The sequence below is a fragment of the Homo sapiens genome, chromosome 3 (genome assembly GCF_000001405.40).
Source record: "Homo sapiens chromosome 3, GRCh38.p14 Primary Assembly".
NCBI classification, from domain to species: Eukaryota; Metazoa; Chordata; class Mammalia; order Primates; family Hominidae; genus Homo; species Homo sapiens.
In genome coordinates, this window is record NC_000003.12 from 127,771,676 (window position 1) to 127,792,928 (window position 21,253).

At 50.5% G+C, this 21,253-nt stretch overlaps 1 protein-coding gene across 10 annotated transcripts in view, besides 5 other annotated features; it reads right to left on the bottom strand.

The window, feature by feature from the left end:
- Nucleotides 1-21,253, bottom strand: part of MGLL (monoglyceride lipase) — a 134,120-nt gene that overhangs the window by 82,610 nt on the left and 30,257 nt on the right. For all 10 annotated transcript variants that reach the window (NM_001388316.1, NM_001003794.3, NM_001388313.1 and 7 more), the window contains exon 3: nucleotides 10,114-10,220. In NM_001388316.1, coding sequence (NP_001375245.1) covers nucleotides 10,114-10,220 — 107 coding nt within the window. The remainder of the gene's footprint in view (nucleotides 1-10,113; nucleotides 10,221-21,253) is intronic.
- Nucleotides 4,115-4,434: an enhancer, noted in NCBI's record as "active region_20473". NCBI's record gives its function as "activates an Ori minimal core promoter by ATAC-STARR-seq in GM12878 lymphoblastoid cells {active_cell/tissue: GM12878}" and the evidence as "EXISTENCE:reporter gene assay evidence [ECO:0000049][PMID:35858748]".
- Nucleotides 18,697-19,300: an enhancer, noted in NCBI's record as "H3K4me1 hESC enhancer chr3:127509215-127509818 (GRCh37/hg19 assembly coordinates)". NCBI's record gives its function as "activates a minimal SCP1, AML or CMV promoter by ChIP-STARR-seq in primed H9 embryonic stem cells {active_cell/tissue: H9 hESC(primed)}" and the evidence as "EXISTENCE:reporter gene assay evidence [ECO:0000049][PMID:30033119]".
- Nucleotides 19,301-19,903: an enhancer, noted in NCBI's record as "NANOG-H3K4me1 hESC enhancer chr3:127509819-127510421 (GRCh37/hg19 assembly coordinates)". NCBI's record gives its function as "activates a minimal SCP1, AML or CMV promoter by ChIP-STARR-seq in primed H9 embryonic stem cells {active_cell/tissue: H9 hESC(primed)}" and the evidence as "EXISTENCE:reporter gene assay evidence [ECO:0000049][PMID:30033119]".
- Nucleotides 19,301-19,928: a biological region, named in NCBI's record as "NANOG-H3K4me1 hESC enhancer GRCh37_chr3:127509819-127510421".
- Nucleotides 19,829-19,928: an enhancer, noted in NCBI's record as "active region_20474". NCBI's record gives its function as "activates an Ori minimal core promoter by ATAC-STARR-seq in GM12878 lymphoblastoid cells {active_cell/tissue: GM12878}" and the evidence as "EXISTENCE:reporter gene assay evidence [ECO:0000049][PMID:35858748]".

The window sequence follows — 21,253 nt, forward strand, 5'->3', positions numbered from 1 at the left end:
GTTTTCATCTGCCTTAGGAAGAAGACAAATGTCCACCACTGGCTCTGCATCATTCTAGGACTTAGTGCCACACTTACCATCTGCAGTTAACTCAAGGGGCATTTGAAAATTATAAAGAGAAGCCCTACGTTAATTTTAACCCAGGGTAACATAGCGTATGTTGAGAACACCAGGGGCAGCATGTATGTGGGGAGTGGACAGGTGGGGGACCTGAGCCTAGTTGCAACAGTCCCGGCTGTCTTGGCAAGGACTCCTCCTGGCCTCCATGAGGTTCTGTTTCTCAACACAACAGTGGTGCAATGGTGGGTCTTACACCAACGTCTCTCAGGGCATCTGAGCTTCGCACTTTCCTACCGTCCCTCAAAAAGCAAAAGAGGTGTCATGGGAGGAAGAAAGAAAACCTGCGTTTATCAAACCCCAGGCCCCAAACCAAGCACTCTGCATACTTCACCTCATTGAATCCCTGGGATAACCCCAGCAAGCCTTACCAGCCCTGCTTTTTCAACTTAGGGGATTGTGCAGACTTGCCAAGGCCGCACAGGTAGTAAAGGATGAAGCCACAATTCAAGGCCTCGTCTGTCTGGTTCCAGAGCCCCGCTCCCCCAACCTCTAAGTGCAGACAGCACGCTGCATTGGTAGTTCACTTCTGACAGCACCCCACAGGCTGGTATTGTTAGCCCATTTTACAGATGAGGAGTGTGAAGTCCGGAGAAGTCAAGTAACTTGCCAAGGCCACACAGCAAATTAGAGCCAAGGTCTGTCTCTCTAAAGCTGAGCCTGTTTCACATCTGTCCAATGGCTGGTGGAAGGAAGGTCACGTGAACCGTCCTGCACACTACCGCATGCAAAGCATTCCCACAGTGCTCTTGAGGGAGTGGTCTGGCTGCTCCTCCTAGAAGCAGGAAAGCCAAGACTCCCATGAGGCTAAAGCCATGGGCTCCAGCAGATCCAGCAACTAGGGAGAGGCTGGATTTGCAGGGGGGCTGTGTATGCATCCAAAACTGCTGCTCTCTGCTGTGGTGGGAATGTTTGTCTCCCCTCAGAATTCATGTTGAAATCCCAACCCCAAAGGTGATGGTGTTGGGAGGTGGGGCCTTTGGGAGGTGATAGGTCATGGGGGCAGAGGCCTCATGAATGGGGTTAGAGGCCTTATTAAAGGGGCTGCAGAGCTCTCTAGCCCTCTTCCCACCATGTGAGGACACAGTGAGAAAGCATCATCTATGAACCAGGAGGTGGTTCTCTCACCAGACACGGAATCTGTCAGCACCTTGACCTTGGACTTCCCAGCCTCCAGAACTGTGAGGAATAGATCCCTGCTGTTTATCAGCCACCCAGTCTAGAGTGTTCTGTTACAGCAGCCTGGACGCACTGAGGCACTCTCGGCAGATCTGAAGGCAACAGCTGGGCTCCAGCCTGGGCTGGTTTCCTCCCAGGGTTACTGAGATGGAATGAGATGTTTGAGGAAGCCCCTTATAAACTGTGAGGTTCTGTGCTTGTGAATGTTATTATTTTTGAGGGGCCCAAGAATGCTGTGGGCTGCTGCTTAGAGGCCAGGGTCCCCCGAAGGGGTCAAATTCTAGACCCCTTGAACTCTAGAGCCAGACAGCTTGGGCTTGAGTCTAGGCTCTGCCACGTAGCAGCCATGCCACCTTGGGCAGGCGGCTTAACCTGTCTGTGCCTCAGCTTCCTCGTCAGTAAGAGGGAGACAACAGTCTCACCTCCTGGCAGCGCTGTGAGGACAAGTCAGATAAGGTATGAACATGTAAACACAGTGTTGAGCACATGCTGGGTGCTCAGTACTTGTGTCTTCTTAGGACAGGCCCTGGGGGTCACCACAAGACAGGAGAGGCCTAGGCAGGTAGGGTGGACACAGGCTGTGCCGGGCTGGCTCTGGACTGGGACAGCATGACGGGGACTTGTTAAAGAGTGCACCTGCTCTCATCTTGCTGCCTTAAGTTGCACCCACAACATGTGGACTTGGGGGAGGGACCCTGAGACATGCACGAGGCCTTGAGTTCAGTATGATGCAGACTAGACTCAGCCTTCCATTTCTAGAGGGAGATGTCGTTACAAGGAGACTCAGGCTCGCCACTGTTGGGCCTTCCCTGTCTCTCACCTCTCTGCCAAATCTTGTTGCTTTTATCTCTGTGTCTCTCCACTCTGCTCAGGCCTCTTTATTCCTAGGGTCGCCACCCAAGTTCAAGGCTCAGAGAGGTCTGGTTGACACTGCCACACAGCACACAGCAAGTCCCTCCCAGCCTGGCGGCCCAAAGTCCTCCCCACACTCCCTGACTTCGCCCTGCAATCTGTCTTCGCACAGCAGCCTCAGGTCGTTCAGAAATCACACACATCACAGTATACTGCTCCCCTGCTCACAGCCCTCCCTCCAGTGGCTTCCAACATCCCAGAGCAGCCTCTGTTCCTCCTCCTTGGGCCCACAAGGCCCCTGCCCATCACTGCTCACCTGCTGTTCTGTCTAAGCTCTGACCATCCTGGCTTGCTGGCGACCTGAGAGCACCCTGCTAGCCCCTGCCCCCGGGCCTTTGCACTGACTGTTCCCAGCTCTAGACTCCCTCTGCCACCCAGACCTTTGCAAGAATGGGTCCAAATGACTGCCACAGCCTCTTGAAAGGCTTCCCAAACTGTTGGGCAGAGGGAGCCCCTCTCCCTGGCAGCCTCCTGCCTCTTGCCTCCCCTGCACTTGGCAGGACATAACACCTCTCCTTATTCACTCATGTCTGCCTGGCTCACTGCTGGACCTCTGTGCCTAGAACAGTTAGGAGTGCAGTTGGGCATTCAGTGAATATCAAAGAATGAAGGAAGAAGAGTTCCTTCACCTGAATGCTCTTTCTCCATATTTCCCTGTTCAATTTCATCTCCTTGAGGAAGCATCCTTTGAAGTCTGGGACAGAACTTTCAATAGCTGCAAAGTCTCCCTGCACCTTTCTTTGCAGGTGAGCTGGCAGGTACTTCGTGTCTAATAGATGCCTGGCGTTGTGTATGGTTTGTTACACACACTCTCTCAGGGGTCCTCAGCAGCAGCAGCAGCAGCAGCAGCACCCCCAGGGGCTGTTAGAAATGCACATTCTTGGGCCCCACAGCAGACCAACTGAATCTGAATCCTGGGGTGGGCCCAGCCATCTGGCTTTCAACAGGGGATGCTGCTGCCACTGGAGTTTCAGACCCTGCGCTATCTCATTTCATCTCCACGGCCACAGAGCAACCTTGTTATTATCATGGTCCTCATTTTACAAACGAGCAACTGAGCCACATGGAGGTTTTTGTTTTGTTCAACAGAGGCAAATGACCTCATATCAGAGAGGGCACACAAACTCATATCCGAGACTTACATCAAATAAACTCAACAGGCTTTCATCAAAGGTAGAGCATTCACTATGCTTAATAGTGAATGAAGAAGGAAGAGGAGGAGGCAAGGGGACGAAGGGAATGAGTTGGGGAATAGCAGAGACTATGGGGGTCTCAGGGTGGCACAGTCCACTCTCCCACACTCTACAAGTTGCAGCAAGTTCACTGTCACCCACCCTCGGAGTTGGGCCCCCAAGGAACTCTTGAAGACTTAAAGGGCAACTCACTCCATTATTTTAATTCTCATATTTACTAAGGCAAGAAAAACGGTTAACACATTTTTCAAACGTTTCAAACAAAAATATATTACTTACAAGAAATAAAATAAACCTATGGCAGTTTATTTTAGAATACTTCCAGCAAGCGACCTTGACTCAAATCTGTCTCCCTGGATGAAAAACACCCATATACAATTATTCCCCCTGAATTTCCTAAATACTCTTCTTCTGACTGGATAGGACCCACCCGCCAAGGAGAACCACGCGTAACTGCCGCCCACAGACATTCCCTCAAAACTTCCTCTTCTCACATGCCCCAGCTGAGTTAAAAAAAAACACACACACAAAGCCCTCTTTAACACTTTCCCTCAAATATTTGCAGATAATTAATTCACTGTTCATCAGTTGAGGATGGTTCGTTTATACTTTGTAAATACAGAGGAGGCTTCTCTGGCCCCAGCAAGTGCTCCTGGAGCCGAGAGTGCGTGTTAGGAAGTCAGGAGGCTGCTCCCTGGGGAAGGGCCCTTTCCAGCAGGACTGCAGGGAGCAGGCCTGCGGGCAAATGGGCCTCAGATTCCCACCGTCTCTCGCAGCAGCGCCTCCTGGGTGGGTCCATGTGTGCCCTCCTCCCGGAGTCCTCCTTGCCCCCTCTGGGTGAGACTGGCCCTTCTGCCTGCATGGAAGGCCAAGGGGTTTCCAGTGAGTCACTGCAGCAGCTGGCAGACCAGGGACCAAGAGAACGCCAGCCCCGGTTTTCTCCCTGCTATATTTAGAATGTTGCGGAAAATCCCATCTTCTGGTGTCCCCACCTGTTCACACATGGCAGCAGCCCCTCCGTTTCTGGCTGCCCGTGCACCTCTCCCTCATGGGCTCTACTCTGAGGCCCCTCTCCTGAGGATCTCCAAAGTCTCCTGGTGGCCTTCCATCCTTCCAGGCCCCAGAGCCTTTCCTAATAAATCCTGTCTTCACCAGCTCCAAACTTTGTGCCTGTGTGGCCTCCTCTGCTCAGTGGTAGTTCTCAACCTGGGCTGCATATAAGAATCACCTCGTGTATCTTTTAAAATCCTGATGCCCAGGTGACACCAAAGACCAATAAATCAGGATCTCTGAGGGGTGGGGGAGGGGGAGCCCAGGCTTCAGGATTTTTTGACTCCCCAGTAATCCTGACAGTAGGCAAGGTGAGAACCATGGCTCTCAACGATCGGAGCCCTTCCTCCTGCTGACAAGCTCCCACTCTCCGACAAGACCCGGCCATCCTGCCAGCCACCCTTCTGGCCCTCCAGGCATTGAGGATGCCCTGAGCCTGGAGGTGCCACACCCCTTCCTGAGCTGCGGGCCTTGTGGCGCCTCTGTCCCAGCAGCGCATCCATGGCACTTACGGGCTCTCCACCTGCTTGGTCACCAGACTCAGGTCCAGTGGCCACACTGCTGGACCCTCTGCTCATTGAGGGGACCCGGCAGTGCCCTGCTTACGTGGATACCTTAATGTGGATGTTCTACCCTTAATATTTAAAGCATTTCTGGTCTGATCTATTTTGGCTTATAAACTCTTCCAGTCATTCAGCAAACACTGTTGATGCCTCCACTTCCTGCTCAGTCCAGGAATGGACTATGCTATGCAAAGATGATGAGAAGGGTCTTGGGGGAGGGAGAGGAGCGAATGGACAACACAATGTAAGACACTGTCTTTGCCTGCCTGCAGTGGCTGCCTTGGCCTAAAGGAATAGTTCCCACGCAGGATAATACATGCTATAAAAAGCTATGCCCTTAGAGAGGGGCTGCTTGCTTTCTCTGGGGAAGACGGGTCATGTTCTCATTAGGACAACAGTTACTGTGTCCATGCATTTCTCCTTGCTTCACACCTCACCCAGAACAAACACCCAATTAGGAACTTCAACCAATGCTTATTAATGATGCCAATACTAATAGCCTTCACATCAAAACCTTCAGAAAGAACACAAGGATGGGTGAGATGAAAGGAAATCCTGTGAGTGAGCTGAAATGCCCAGAAAATACATAAAGTAGAAACAATCGGGGAAATGCTAATTTAATAATAAACCTGGGAGTGTGGCATGGCAGAGATGGATAGCCATCAGCAATGTCCATTCTCTGTGTCTACCTTACCAACAGAAGTTTCTGTTGTTTGGGTCAGTAGTTAAAAATTACAGTTCCTGCCTCCCTTGCAGCTAGGCAGAGCCCTGTGAACAGCACTGGTCAATGCAGTGGGGCTAGAGCCTGCCAGGATTTCTAAGTAAGCTTTGCCTTCCTGATAGGAGCCCAGCCCTTTTTCTCTGTCACTTCCTGCTTCCTCTACCTGTTAGAACATGAGGCTGGAGGTAGTGCCCACACAGATGAAAGCCACATGCTAAGTAGTACCAGCTGAGCAAACTACAGATGGAACCCTGGGCACTGATGGTGCCATGGAGTCCTTGCACCTGCCTCAGACATCACGTGCCCTGGAAGAAGACAAAACTTCCCTTTGCTAACACATGCGCAATGAGAATGGATCTGCTTGAATATACAGCCACACGTTCCTCACTTATAAAATGGGGAAAATAAGATTAATTGTTGTGAGAAATTAGAGATCATATGAGAAAAGTGCCCAGTAGAGAGCCTGGCATGCAGTTGACACTGAATAAATGGCAGGAATCACAATTTTCACTGCTGGCAAGCCATTCAAACCCATGAGTTCATTTTGTACAAATTCTGAGGTTAACATGGAGAACAAAGTTAAATTAGATGCTTATTGAACATGACTCTGAGCCCACCAATTTACCAGGCATGCTGGAGACACAGCCAGACTGCCACAACCGCGGCGCCTAGAGGTTTCTGTCTGAACAGTGAAATACTGTAATGCATTGAGCAATGAGACCCATGGTAGTAAAATCAGTTAGCATCAGATTTACAGAAGCCAGTGTTTCCATAAATCGTGTCATAGAAACCGGGCAGTGAAACCACCATAGGCAGCTCTGTCTACTTTGTAAAGCATTTTCCTATCTATTGCTTCACTGTATCTTCAGAACGGCCTGTGCAGGCCTGAGGGGTGACCCAGCCCGCTCAGGGCAACCACACGGGGACAAGAACCCCCTAACTCCCAGCCTCAGTCCTGCTGGTCTTGCTCAGAGCCCTGGGGTCACGCCCACCTGGGTACACAGCACAGCAGCCAGTCTACATTGTAGATGAGAAAATTAAGACTGGGGATAGTTAAACAAGGTGCAGATCACACGGCTTGGACTCCCTGTTGAGTGGACCCTGGACTGGGTGTATTAGTGTCTGAGCCCTTCTGCTGTCTGGGATGAAAGTGCAGTAGCATGCTTCCAGCGACACCCTGGAGTGCAGATGACAACATGGCTAAAGACATGGGAGGTTTGGATGTTGGAGCCTTGGAGGTGCCATGGGCCCTGCAGCAGTGTTTTCAGCTCCGTTTTTAGTTTTCAGTGTACCTCCAATGGGCACAATAAATGTCCTGACATTCTCCTAATATTTGTTTTATTTAATTTTTTTTCTTTTTGAGACAGGATCTTGCTCTTTCCTCTAGGCTGGGTACAATGGTGTGATCATGGCTTACTGCAGCCTTGAACTCTCAGGCTCAAGTGATCTTCCCACTTCAGCCTCCTAAGTAGCTGGCACTATAGGTATATACCATGGGGCCCAGCTAATTAAAAAAAATTATTTTGTAGAGACAGGATCTCACTATGTTGCCTGGGCTGGTCTCAAACTCCTGGCCTCAAGCGATCCTCCCACCTCAGCCTCCCAAAGTGCTGGGACTACAGGTGTGAGCCATTGCACCTTGCCTGCTTTATTTAAATTTAAAAGCTATGTTGGACTGGGTGCAGTGGCTCACGCCTGTAACCCCAATACTTTGGGAGGCCGAGGAGAGTGGATCACCTGAGGTCAGGAGTTCGAGACCAGCCTGGCCAATATGGTGAAACCCCTGTCTCTACCAAAAATACAAAAATTAGCCGGGCATAGTGGCAGGCGCCTGTAGTCCCAGCTACTCAGGAGGCTAAGACAGGATAATCGCTTGAACCCGGGAGGCAGAGGTTGCAGTGAGTTGAGATCACGCCACTGCACTCCAGCCTGGGCGACAGAGCAAGACTCCATTTCAAAAAAATAAAAAGTAAAAAAATAAAATAAAAGCTATGTTGGAAAGAATGCAGTCTGCATATATCTCTGTAGGCATTTGTGCCTGGAAACATTGGTGTACAGTAATAAAAAAGGCCAGGCTTTAGAACCAGCCTTTTTTTTTTTCTTAGAAAAGTCTAGACAGTTGTGGCTGTAATGCAGCGGCGCAGGACCTTACATAACCTCAGCAATGCATCAGGAGCCACACTGTGGGCTCCAGGCCTTATTAAATAAGAGGATTTGCTGTTAAAATGCTGAACAGCGAAATACTATAATGCATTGAGCAACGAGATCCAAGCTAGTAAAATCAGTTAGCGTCAGATTTAGCATCCATTCACTCCTTTCCCTCCCCAACCTTCTAAAGAAGGTTTGACCTGGGTTCAAATCCTTCCTTCTTCACTTACTAGCACATTTCTCAGCAAGAAGGAAATACAGCCAAGATCACTAGCCACCAGTACCTGCATCGCCAGCCTGCACAAGATCCCCAAAATGGCAGCCCACTTACTTGGCTTCCTTCTACTAAGCAAGCCACAGCAAAAGTCACACACGCACAGTCAACTGGGTTCATTTCCTGAATTAAACACTTCCCTTAGGCACTTGCCAGAGAGATTTCCATGAGTCATTCAAAGAGCTTGAAACAGGTGAACACCAACAGCCATTTTCGCACTATATTTAGAATGTCACAGAGAGCTCTGCCTCAACTCTAGATGTTATTCTGGAAACATCAAAAGGTGGGCTGTTTCTTTTCTCCCTTTATTCTAAAAAAGGAGGCTTTTAAAATTGTTTCTCAAAGTGCCACAGCCAGACAAAATAAACAAGGAACAACATTTACTTAATCCCACAGATTTGGCCAAGTTTTATCCGATAAGAAGGTGGTTGGTGCTAAGATACAAAATAGATTCTTGGGACTCTAGCTGCATAGTACAAATATCCTTTTCCTTCACAATGTCTCTAGAACATAACGATGATGAGTGTAACAAATTTTAAAGGATGCAAATGCAATAGGAAAAAAAAATTCCTATCTGAGGCTTTTACATGTAAGAAGTGCCAAAGTTAATAATGACACAGTCCCCATACTAAAAGCCTCGGAGATGATCCTCAAATATTATTTCTCAAACAGTCTCACAAATATTACTGGGACAGTTCGCAAAGCACTAAAGAACGTCACAACTATGATAAGAAAGAATTAGTCAATACTGTCAGTTATGAGGACGCTTGTGTATATCCAGCTGAATAAGAGCCCCTGGCAAATCACATTTGCAGCTCTTTACCTACAGAATGTCCCAGCAAGCTTTTCACCTCCTGTGCAGCTTCTCCGTACAGATAAGGCTTTCCCGCATTTACAAGGACTTCCAGGCCTCTGTCATTGCTCCCCTGTCCCTCTTTTCAGAGACATCACTTAATTATTATCCATTTTCAAATCAGATAAAATGGAAGCAACATTTCTGGATCTGGGCCACAATGATAGAATTTTACATTGAAGCTGTGGGGAAATCACCGTGTTCAGTCACAGAGAAGTCTTAATTTTAAAAAGTGTTAGGCAAAGAACTAAATTGGGAGACTTCCTAGCCATAGAGAATGTTGCAAACATGATTACAAAACTACATACCGACTCAGACAATGAACATTGGATTTTGATGGTTGTGGATTTTGCTACAGAACAAAGAATCAAAGACCTGGCCTGGGGTTGTGTGTGTGTGATTGTGTATGGATGGTATGTTTATGTATGCATGTATATGTCTATATGTATGTGTGAATGTGTGTATATGTGTGTAAATGTGTAGGTGCACATGTGTATGTATGTGTGTATGTGTGTTTTACGTGTATGTGTATAGGTACAGGTGTGTATGTGTGTGCATGTGTATGTATATGTGTATGTGTGCAAATGTGTGTATGACTATATGCATGGGTAGCTGTGTGTCCTTGTATTTGTGTGTGTGTTGGGTTTTCTTGTGAACAATATGGCCTGTTGAGGCTTCTACTATTCTCCTGGTCTGAAATGCTTGGTAAACCTCGTGTGGTTAAACCAGGGTTTACACTGTACTTGAACTGACTACACAATGCCCATTTGAGGGCACTTGGAGAAAAACCAGGGCCCATTTTGAGAGAAAGCACTTTATAAATGCAGGAAAGAATTCCTTAGCCTCAGGCAAGTTCTGAGATGAACATATCCGACTTTGTTTTTCCAGTTGAGGTTTCTAATCAGCCTGCATTCAGTCTCAGACTACAGAATCTGCTCGTCAGACATTTTTTTTGTTTGTTTGCATAACTACATTTTTTTACTTTGAAACATCCGTGGGGAATAGAAGAATTGAGAAGGATGCTGGCAGTGAGATGGACTAGAGAGGGAGATCTCCAAATTGTCAGGGCCCAGCCAGCTCTGACGGCACCCTGGGACACTCACCATGGTCGTGGGCGAACACCAGCAGGTCCAGCCCCATCAGCATCCGAGCCAGCTCTTCATAGCGGCCACTGTGCTCTCCGGCTCCATGGGACACAAAGATGAGGGCCCTGCAGAGACAAGAAGGGAGCCTGGTTAGGAAAGCCCACACGGGGCTGGGCGCGGTGGCTCATGCCTACAATTCCAGCACTTTGGGAGGCCGGGGCGGGCGGATTGCCTGAGCTCAGGAGTTTGAGACCAGCCTGACCAACATAGTGAAACCCCACCTCTACTGAAATACAAAAAAATTAGCCGGGAGTGGTGGCATGCGCCTGTCATCCCAGCTACTCGGCAGGCTGAGGCAGGAGAATTGCTTGAACCCAGGAGGCAGAGATGACAGTGAGCTGAGATGGCGCCACTGTACTCCAGCCTGGGTGACAGAGCGAGACTCTGTCTCCAAAAAAATAGAAAAGAAAAGAAACGCCCAGATGGCTGCCACTGTGCTGCAGCAGTACCAGAGCTTACAAAACCTCAGCAACACCAGGAGCCACACCATGGGCTCCAGGCATTGTCAAATAAGAGGAGTTTGCTGTTAAAATGCGGGGCTTCAGAGTCACGCAGAATGGAGCCCAAATCCCTGCTCTTCCTGTGAGCTCTCAGGCAGAGCTCCAGTCCCATGAAGGTTCATTTCTTCGCCTGTAACATGGTAAGAAGAGCATCGCCCTGTGGGTGCTTGTGAGGCTCATGGGAGCTAATCGATGCCAATGGCCCAGGCAGAGTGCTGGCGCGGGGCAGGCAGGTCCTCCACCAGGGCCTGCTTCCTCCCTCGGGGGCGAATGTGGCAGCATTTAGATTCCAAACTATCCAATTTTCAAGACCTATATTCTTAGCAGAAGACCTACGGAGAGCTAGAGTCTCCTTCAGGCACGGAGTAAATGCCATGAGCGATACCCACCAACTTCTACTGCTGCTGATGGTGATGAGGGGAAAGAGGAGGAGGAGAACAAGCTGCCACCTTCCTGAGCATTTACTATGCACCCGTTCCTCTGCAACTCCACATGCAAGATTTCTAACTCTCCAGTCATCAGATGATTTATCTTCTTTACAGATGAGAGTGAAATGCATAGAAGTTAAGTGAGTTGGGCCAGGCAAGGTGGCTCACACCTATAATCCCAGCACTTTCGGAGGCCAAGGCGGGCAGATCACTTGAGACCAGCTTGGCCAACATGGTGAAACTCCGTCACTATAAAAAGTACAAAAATTAACCAGGCATGGTGGCACACACCTGTAATCCCAGCTATTTGGGAGACTGAGATTGCAGTTGAGCCAAGATTGTGCCACTGCACTCCAGCTTGGGTGACAGAGTGGGACTCTGTCTCAAAAAAAAAAAAAAAAAAAAAAAAAGAAGTAAAGTAAGTTGTCCGAGCCACATGGCAAGTTGGCAAAACACCATTCAGAGTATGTTGCCGCTGGCTGTCTGGTCTCCAGGAAGCTGCTATAGGGCTCAGAACACAAGCCATGGAGTCAGGACAGACGCTGCCTCGGCGGAGGCTCCCAGTGCCTGATCTGGCAACCCCTCCCGGGCCTTTCTGCTGGGCTCTGGCCCCTCTGCACACCCCTGCTGACCGTCACTCTGGTTCTCTAGTTGCCTGCCTGCTTCCTGATGCCCCCACCTTGACATCAGCCCACAACCTTCTGAGGACTGGACCCCAGAGCTGTATCCCAGCCGAGCAACATGAACAGGGGCCCAGCTGAGGACATAGACACCTCATTCAACAGCTGTGTTCTTCCTACGACTCTTTTCAGCCAGGCTGTGTAAGGCCAGAATGGCACCAGTTTGTTTTATGGTGCTTTCATTTAGCCCCATTTTTCAAATCACCTTTGCCATCTGTCCTTTTCCTTTTCCTGCCTTTTTCCTAAAGAAGCCAGAGGAATTTTCACACCCTCTTCACTGCTCCATGGAATGCCCAGCCACCTCCACTCAATCAGATGTGTACTTGTGTAAATGACACCTGCCCACCTGATATTTCTGGGATTGGCTGATGGGATTTCTTTCCTGCATTTCCCTTGGCTACTGAGGAGCACGGCTGGAACTGCTAATTAGTCAGCATCTTCTGTCTTCAAAAGGGGCTGTGCTTCCAGAAGGGATAGCTCAAGTACTTTAACCCCCTTTGGGAGCACAGCCACTACTGTCATAATTCAGGCTACTGTTAATGCAGACAGACAGGTCGTTGAGCTGGATCATGCAACTCTCCAGCCTCTCATCGCAGCCAGGGGCCACCCAGCAGAAAAGGACTTCGGGGTTCCATTTAACAACCAAAGAAATGGCACAAGGCATTGCCATCATGCCTGGAATTGCCTGTCAAGAGAATCCAGCACCAAGTCAATATGTGGAAAAACAAGTGGTCTCTTACTCTACAGCAATTCCTTCTAATCCAGAGGTTCTCAACTTTGGCCACACATTGGAGTCACCTGGGGAGCTTTCAAAAAGGCTGATGCCTGGGTCCCACTCCCAGGGGACCTCTGGGTTTAATTGGTCTGAGGTTAGAAAAGCTCCCCAGTGGCTCCGATGTACAGCCAAGGTGGAGAAGCACCTGTTCTCATCACAATGTTGAGCTTGGGCCATGGTGCTGCTCAGAGGCTAAGTGGAACTTAAGTGTGGTGAGAATGCAGCCATCGTAGAAACTTAGAGCAACCTTAGGGCCACCAATCTCCCTGGGGGGTATGCTGGGTAGACCACGAGTTCTAGCCATAGAGGCTGACAGATATAGCCGTCCCACTGCAGGCGGTGGGGGTCACTGCCACCCTTCTCTCTGCACAGGAAGAGCCCGTTGGCAGCACCTGTAGGCTTAGCCTTCCACAGCCCCACACTTCCACCCCCAGGCCCGGTCAGCACCCTGAGAGCCCACCTTTGGACACCTGGACTCATTCTGATCTTCAGCTTCTATTGTGGTAAGTGGGTTTCTCCTTAGTGTCTGGATTCAGATCCTGCCTGGACCCCGATTCAGATAACTCAATCTCCCCTTCCCCCTGGCTGCCACATTTACATGTTCCCAGGACCTTAGGGTGTTTGGTAAATCTGTCCAGCAAAGCGAAATCAAATCATGTTACCCTTCTGCTTTAAGCCTTCCAGAAACTTCGCATTGCAACAGAACAAAGGTTGTCTGCCTCTGAAACACCTCTCCCCCTCTGCCCTGCTCCCGAGCTCCGAGGCCTCCTTTCTGGTGCCCAGATGTGCCAGGCGATAGTGTGCTGTTAAATGTTTAACAACTGGGGGTGGGGGTGGTCCTAGGGTTCCTCTGCCCACTGCAGTGCCCAGGGTGGAGCCTCCTGGAAGCCCGCCTGTGCTGTGCTTACTGGCACCAGGGTTTCCAGGTGCTTCACCTCACCCCCTGTGAGCACACCCCTCCTCCTGTGAGACCTTCCCCCCTCCTTCCCCACACACCTGCTGCAGGTGGAGCCACTGTTGCCGCTCCCTCCTCTCTTCAGACCTCTTCCCGGCCTGGTCTGGCCGGCCCTTCCCAGCTTCCTGCCCTGTTGCCACGAATACAGCTGGCCATGTCCCAAGCTATGTGTGTCTGCATTTGTCTCTCTGGGTAAAGGGACAGACCCCAGCTCCAGGCTTCCTGATGGAAGGTCACATTCACCACTGGATGCTGGGCACTGTGTGGAAGCTTCCCCTTCAGGGTTTCACAAAACATTGTGCTTCTATTTCTGCTCCAAATATATACATGACTGAGCACTGAGAAACCCAGATGTGGAGGAAATGCACATCCCAGTTGCTGGGAGGCTGTGAACAGAGAGCAAAGTTCAGCCAGAACAACCTGGTTGGATTCCCAGTGTGACCACGCAGGACCCTGCGCAAGTCGCCTGATGGCCCTTGGCCTGTCTCCTTGGCATTGAAGTAGAAAGAATGGGATGGCAACAACAGTGGGTCCTACTTTTCTTCAGCCGAGTCTGCAAATGTGAATGTGAGCTTATTACGTGCCAGGCCCCCAGGACACTGAGATGAACAAACAACGTTGTCCCTGCCCACACACAGCTTGCAGCCACTCAGCAGAGAACACGCCTGTGAGTGTGTACTGTGAGGAGCACTGTGAGCACCATGAGGGGGTCGACAGATAAGGGAGCCCAACCTAGACTAGGGGAGCCCGACCTAGACTCCAGGGAATAGCCAGGGAAGGCCCCTGAGTGTCTGAGTGGCTGGGAGCTGTCCTGGTGCAGGAGTCCTGCTGGGGACACACAGGTGTGCCTACTCCAGGCGCAGAAGGAAGGCCCCGAGTCCAGAGCGCCATGTGGAGGAGGAAGGTGAGAGGTACATGGAAGGCTGGGTCCACAGCCCCAGGGGCAGCAGTGGGGCACTGGGGTTCTCCTCTGTGCAGAGGATGGTACCCAGCTGGGCAGCGACCTGATCTGACTTCAGCTTTGTGAGGATTGCAGGGCTGCTGCTAATGGAGTGGGAGACAAGAGACCACGTTCATCAAGGGGCCGACAGGGCCCTGAGCAGGTGCCAAGGAAAGTGGTTGGTTCCTGCCCTTCTTCCCCTGCCGTTCTGCAACCTCAACAACAGGCAGCAGCAGAAAATTAGCAGAGCCATTTATGCAGACAAGGCAATACCCACAGCAGCAGAAATTAGGTTGCAGAGGAGGCTGGCTAAGATCTTTTTCCTGGAACTTCTTTAACGGCTGCAGCCAGTTGGGAGCCAGTCGTTCAGGGAGAAGGCAATGACTGTGGGAGGGGCGCCCAGCCCCAGAAGCAGATGGCCTGCCTGGCATCCAGCCCCAGGAGGTGGGACAGCTCCCAATAAAGCACACACAGCCCTCGAGATGAACAAGCCGCAGAGCCTCTCAGAATGTACAAACCAGGCTGCTTTATCCTCTCCATCGAAAAACGAATGCCCCTTTTATGCCTTTGTTTATTAATCAGGTGACCTAACCTCTCTGGGCCTCAGTTCGCTCACCCGTGAAGTGGGGATAATCCTAACACCACCGACCTCAGAGAGCAATGTCGCGAGGTAAATAAGGAAATGCGGATGGGGCAGGGGTCTTGCCTGGGCTAATGAAAGCCCCCCATCGCTGTCCACTAGGAAGCCATTTGCTCCGATGGCGCAGGTAAGCCACTTGCCGGGTGAGCCACTTGCCATGTGGAGGTGTGGGGTAAAGCTCTGGCCCTCCCACAAGCTGCTTCCTAGACCTCTGTGGGCCTCAGTTTCTCCACCTGAGACACAGGAACACTGCAGCCTCCTCCCCGGGGTTTGGAGGTAAAATGAGACAATGTGTGTGCAAGTGCACTGAGGCCCTGCGGCTCAGGATCGAGGCTTCTGCCTTCATGACCATCCTCTCTGCCTCACCCGCCTCCTGCATGAGGAGGAGGATTCAGGGCCAGGGACAACTCACATTCTCATGGTCACTGCCAGCCCCCTGGGCAAGACGCCTGCAATACACCAGCAGCCACTGCTGCCTTGAAAGGCAGAGACCAGAGCTGAGATGAAAGGGGTTCACCTCCACTGAAGGGGCCGGCCTGTTCTGGCCAGACTCTGGACTTGGCTGGACTTGCTGGCCCCCTGACTGCTCATCCACAGAGTGGAGATGACAGTGCCTCCCTAGGAGGCTGCCAAGAGAATTAAACGGACAGTCCCCTAGAGCACGTGGAACGGCTGGCAGAGGGGAAAACGCTAGCCTCCTTCCTGCCTGCCCTTGTCGAAGCAATGCCAGGCTCCCTTAAAGGAAGAACGGAATGCCCAGCTGAAGGAACGTTCCGTTCATTTTCTTAGGAAAATGAATATTTTGTTAGAGGAAATGTATGGTCAGAGGGATACAGTGTTTGTTCCTACCACTAGGCAGGTGGGGATGCCACCAGTCCTGGGTGAGGGGAGCCTCGGGGACACTAGTCCCACACCCCTGAGGGTGTCCTCGCTGGAGGGGTGGGAGCATCGCCTGCCGCTCCAGGCAGTGCCTGCTCTTGGTTCTTGCTTATTCCAGAGCATCCCACTCATTCGACTGGATCCCTCACTTCATCCTCCACTTCTACCAAACTCCGTCCTGCCAAATTTTATGACTTTAACAAATTTGACCGGCACGTCTGCCGTCCGGGCTGCGTGTGGGCTTGTGAGAGTGCGTTGGATCCCTTTCCAGTAACTAAGGCAGGAGAGCATGATGGCTCTGTGGAAGCCCAGATCTAACTTGTCCTTCCTCTTGGAGTTCCAGGGGGCTTTGGTTCCTCTCTGTCTCTGGCAGGGCTCCTGCAGCGACAGTGCACGGGAGACAGAAATAGAACAGAGCCAGTGAAGGAGCTAAAATCTCAGAGGAAACTAGAAATAGACTTCTCCTTTGTATAATAAAACAGATCAATAACGCCTGCCTCCCAGGGAGGGCCTTTGAGAGGACTGATTGAGAGAATTTATGGAAAATCACCAGCATGCTGCCTGGTACAGAGTTAGGCATTAAATAACATCCAGGGCTGACAGCTGACACCTTGGCCAGATACAGGTCTAAGTGTGTTATTACATATCAACTCATTTAACCCTCACAGCACCCCCATGATGTGGGTACTGTTATTACCCCATTTTACTGATGAGAAAAGTGAGGTCCGCAGGTTGGATAGCTTGCCTGAGGTCACACAACTAGTAGGTTTTGAGCCCAGCAGAATTTTAACTCAGCCAGGCTGGCTGGTAAGTCTGCCTTCTTGACCACTGTAATTAAATAATAAGACAACACCACGTAATGGTCAGGTCATGCCCCAAAAGCCCCTCACCCTGACCAGCTTATCCTCTCTCTGGTCACCTGTCCCGGCACCCCTACCCTACCCTGTACTGCAACCACAGGGAAAGACGTGTGGTTCCTCCACACCCCCTCTGTCTATGACCCCATGATTGGGCAGAGGCCTGCTCTTGCCCTCTGCGCACTCCGCAGTCCTTCCACGCTTCCCCAACACTGAGGTAGGCGCACCCTCCTGGGGCCCTGCATTACTCTGTTCATGGCTCTTATCCAGAGTTCATCATCAGGGCGTGTAGGCCCTGTGTTCTTTGAGAAGAGATCATGTTTTATTCATTCATCCTGGTGTCCTGTCCCTAGCAGCCGGCACTGCCTCTGCTCCATGAACACTGAATGAATGAATGAATGAAATGCATCAGAGATAGGAGAGACAACTGTGGGCTGGAACAGTCATGAAGCATTCCCGGAGGCCTACAGACCACTCCCGCAGTGCCCAGTAGTTTTGAAAGCACTCAATGCCCCAGGTTAAATCCCTTTGCTTTGCCTGGCTAGAGAGGCTTCTTGTGCTTGCAGCTGAACCTGGTTATCCAAACGCTCCACTGGAGAGGTGGGAACTCTCTTGGGCTCAAAAGGGGTGGGGGGATGTGCAAAGGGCATTAAAGGTGGGGCAGGAGGGGGTGGAATGCCAAGGGACACAAGGCCCTGAGGCATGTGGTGGCCAGGAGGAGCTGGGTATGAGTGTGAGCAAAGCCCAGCCATGGTGGGAGGAGCTGCTGTGGATCATCCCCTGTGGGCTCAGCTTCAGGAGCCCTGGGCTAGGATGTGAAAAGGCCCGGGACCCATCTACGGCTGGAAGGAAAATTTGAGATTTGGGAACACAATGGGAATTAGACTCATCATCCCTGACACCCAACCCAATCTTAGCTTATTTTTAAAAGGCATATTTTGGGGCGGGTGAGATGGCTCACGCCTATAATCCCAGCATTTTGGGAGGCCAAAGTAGGGGAAGACTGCTTGAGGCCAGGAGTTTGAGACCAGCCTGGGCAACATGGTGAGACCCCATCTCTACAAAAACATTTTAAAAATTAGCAGGGTGTGGTGGTGCAGCTACTTGGAAGGCTGAGGTGGGAGGATCACTTGAGCCCGGGAGGTGGAGGCTACAGTGAGTCATGATCACGCCACTGCACTCCACTCCACTCTGGGTGGCAGAGCAAGACCCTGTCTCAAAAAGAAAGAAAGAAAGGAAAGAAAGGAAAGGAAAGAAGGAAAGAAAGAAAGAAAAGAAAGAAAGAGGCAGACCTTTAATAGAGGCATTTTCCAAGAAGAAAACAAAATTATAACCATAATAAAACAAAGTCACAGCACAGGTAAGCATTCTTTGATCTAATACTCCTTTCAGAATGGGCACAACTCAGACCCAGAACAACTTTGCATCCAGCATATTTTAGCACAAATGCTGCCACCCACCTCCAAGCTATGTATTTTTTTATTATCATAAAACACTACAAATCAGAAGCCCTTGGTTACGCCAAGGTGGGTAAAGTGACAATCACCCTGATTAGTAGTAAGTGTGCTCGCTGATTAAAAAGCAGTATCCTGTGGGCTGGGGCCCTGGAATCTGATTCTTTGGACTTGAATCCTGGATCTGCCCCTGACTGGCTGCAGGCCTAGGTGACAAGTGACTCAATCACTCTATGTCTCAGTTTCCTCATCTGTGAAGTGGGTACTAATGGTAGCACACACCTCCCAGAGGCTCCGTGATGATTACATTGGTAATGAGTGAAACACGAGCCCAGCGTGCATCGGAGCACTCAACCCACATGAGCTAACATTGTCGTCTCCCCAGGTGTGATCTCAGCATTACGTAACATTCTAAGCCATTTGACAGATTAGGAATTGGGCATGGAGCTGTTAAGAATTTAGCTAAAAATGCACACATGCCAAGCTTGGAGGGAGAGAGATCTGATTTGAAGACCTTTCTTAACCAGTACACTACATTGCCTGTCGTGGACGATTTACTCCCACTGTGACCTCATGGCAGCAGGAGATGAGATGGAGGGAGGGGGATAGATTGGACAATCCTGAAATAAAGGCACTGTTAGTCCTTCCTTTCTTCCTTCCTTCGTCCGTAAGGAACACTAAGCGTATTTTGTGAAGCCACTTCAGAATCCTGAGTTGAATGAGACCCGGTCCACTGCCCTTACGGAAGTCGCATGGGAAACAATTTCCCTGACTCCCTATTTTCCCGTTAGCACAGCCTGACTCCAGCCTGCCCCGCAGCCTCTTGCCTCCCCCACACCAGAATGCCTGGATTTCTAGCTCAGTTCTCCTACTGAAGTCCAGCCAGCCTGCCCACTTCCTGGGGGACCCTAGTCTAGGAGCCTGATCCTTCTTCCGCTCACACTGACAGATCCCACGAGTTCCCCCGTGGGCTGGTGTGTGAACTTGCTCTGATGGCAACCCCAGGGGGTAGCCGGCCCCAGTGCGGTGAGGCCCAGTCCTCCATGTCACCCAGTCTTCCATGCCACCCGTACCACTGAGACTGCAGCTGAGGTTGTGCTGTGCCTGCCCAAAGTGCATGCTTAGTTAGGGTATGGCCGGCCCAGCGTCTGAGGAGGCTTCCTCTTCCTTTGGTGCAAATGCCCTGCTGAAATAAGTGCTCCCAGAAATAGAAGAAAACTGCAGAGCCTGACTCCCAAATTCCCTGTGTGAGGAGCTTTACCTTTCAGTATGAGCTTTCTTCAGATCATTGAAAGATCAGAGTCCTAAAGGAGCCTGAAAGCTCCTCCCGCACACCTCTCTGTCCCAGGCACTAGAGGGCCACCCCGCCTCCTCTCTCCCTCCTTTCTTTCTCACTTCTTGTTTGTCTTTGAGCCATCCTGCTTCAAAGCTCTCTGAGAAGCATCTGCAGCCTCCAGGCTAACCACAGTTCAGCTCACATTTCATGTCCTGATGATTCTACATGGTTGCAGTTGATTATGTTTTGTTTATATTGGGAGTATCTGTGCATCTCTAAGATCCCCCTACCCCGACCCCTACCCCGAAAGGGAAGGAATGCTTATTGAGCTAAGTGCTTTACATATGTCATGCTGTGGACTGAACTCCATAATTATATCATCTCCAGCCTCCTCCCAAAACTGTGAAACAGGACACTCAAATATTAACATGGGCTGTTTATCTCAGTTTTAAACTCTTGAGGCCCGGAGTTCCTTCCTTGCCTTTTATGGAAATTCCTTGAACTGCATCGGCTCCATTTGTGTTTGTTCTGCCCTCAAGGCAAGAGGAGCATGAGTCCTTTAACATGCAGCATCTGTTGGGAGTAGTGACTTAAACCTGTAATCCCAGCACTTTGGGAGGCCGAGGTAGGGGGATCACCTGAGGTCAGGAGTTCGAGACCAACCTGACCAACATGGTGAAACCCCGTCTCTACTAAAATACAAAACAGCCGGGCATGGTGATGAGTGCTTGTAGTCTCAGCTATTCGGGAGGCTGAGAAAGGAGAATTGCTTGAACCCAGTAGGCAGAGGTTGCAGTGAACCAAGATGGCACCACTGCACTCCAGCCTGGGCGACAGAGCGAGACTCTGTCTCAAAAAACAAACGAACAAACATGCAGCATCCCGGCCCCCAGAGGCCACTCACTAAGTTCAAATCTATATGTCTAGGTCCTTCTCTCTAGAAATTTACATCTATCAATCTGGCTTTCAGATACTTGTGTTATATCAACCCATCCACGTTTTTTTCTTGCCCAGACCAAGACTACAGCCAAAAGTCCATTGCTGTGGTCCACACATGCATCTCTAAGATCTGAGGGACAGGGGTTCGAGAAAGGCTGGAGTAATGGCAAAGGGATTGCTGTGTGATGAACCCTGCCTTGTTATTTGAGAAAGTCACTCACAGCCTCAAGTGCCTCAGTTGGAAAACAGGAATAATAATCCCTGCCTTGGCAGGTCGCAGTGGCTCCCGCTTGTAATTCTAGCACTTTGGGAGGCCAAGGAGGTCAGATCATGAGGTCAAGAAATCGAGACCATCCTGGCTAACATGGTGAAACCCCGTTCTCTACTAAAAATACAAAAATTAGCTGGGTGTTGTGGCACACGCCTGTAGTCCCAGCTGCTCAGGAGGCTGAGGCAGGAGAATCACTTGAACCCGGGAGGCGGAGGTTGCGATGAGACGAGATCGCGCCATTGCACTCCAGCCTAGTGACAGAGCGAGACTCTGTCTCAAAAGAAAAAAAAAAAATCCCTGCCTTGCAGAAGTGCTTTGAAGATGAAAAGCTGCCGGTAGGTACCAGTTCACTTCTCTAGGCTGCCTCTCCTGCGTGTGCATGTTAGGGTTTCCTCAGTCAAGCCACTGGAGAACATGCAAAGCTATGCGGGCCCTTGGGAAGACTGCTCCAGACAGCCTCTTTACACACATGGCAGGTTTTCTGGCCCGTGTTTTGCTTTTTAA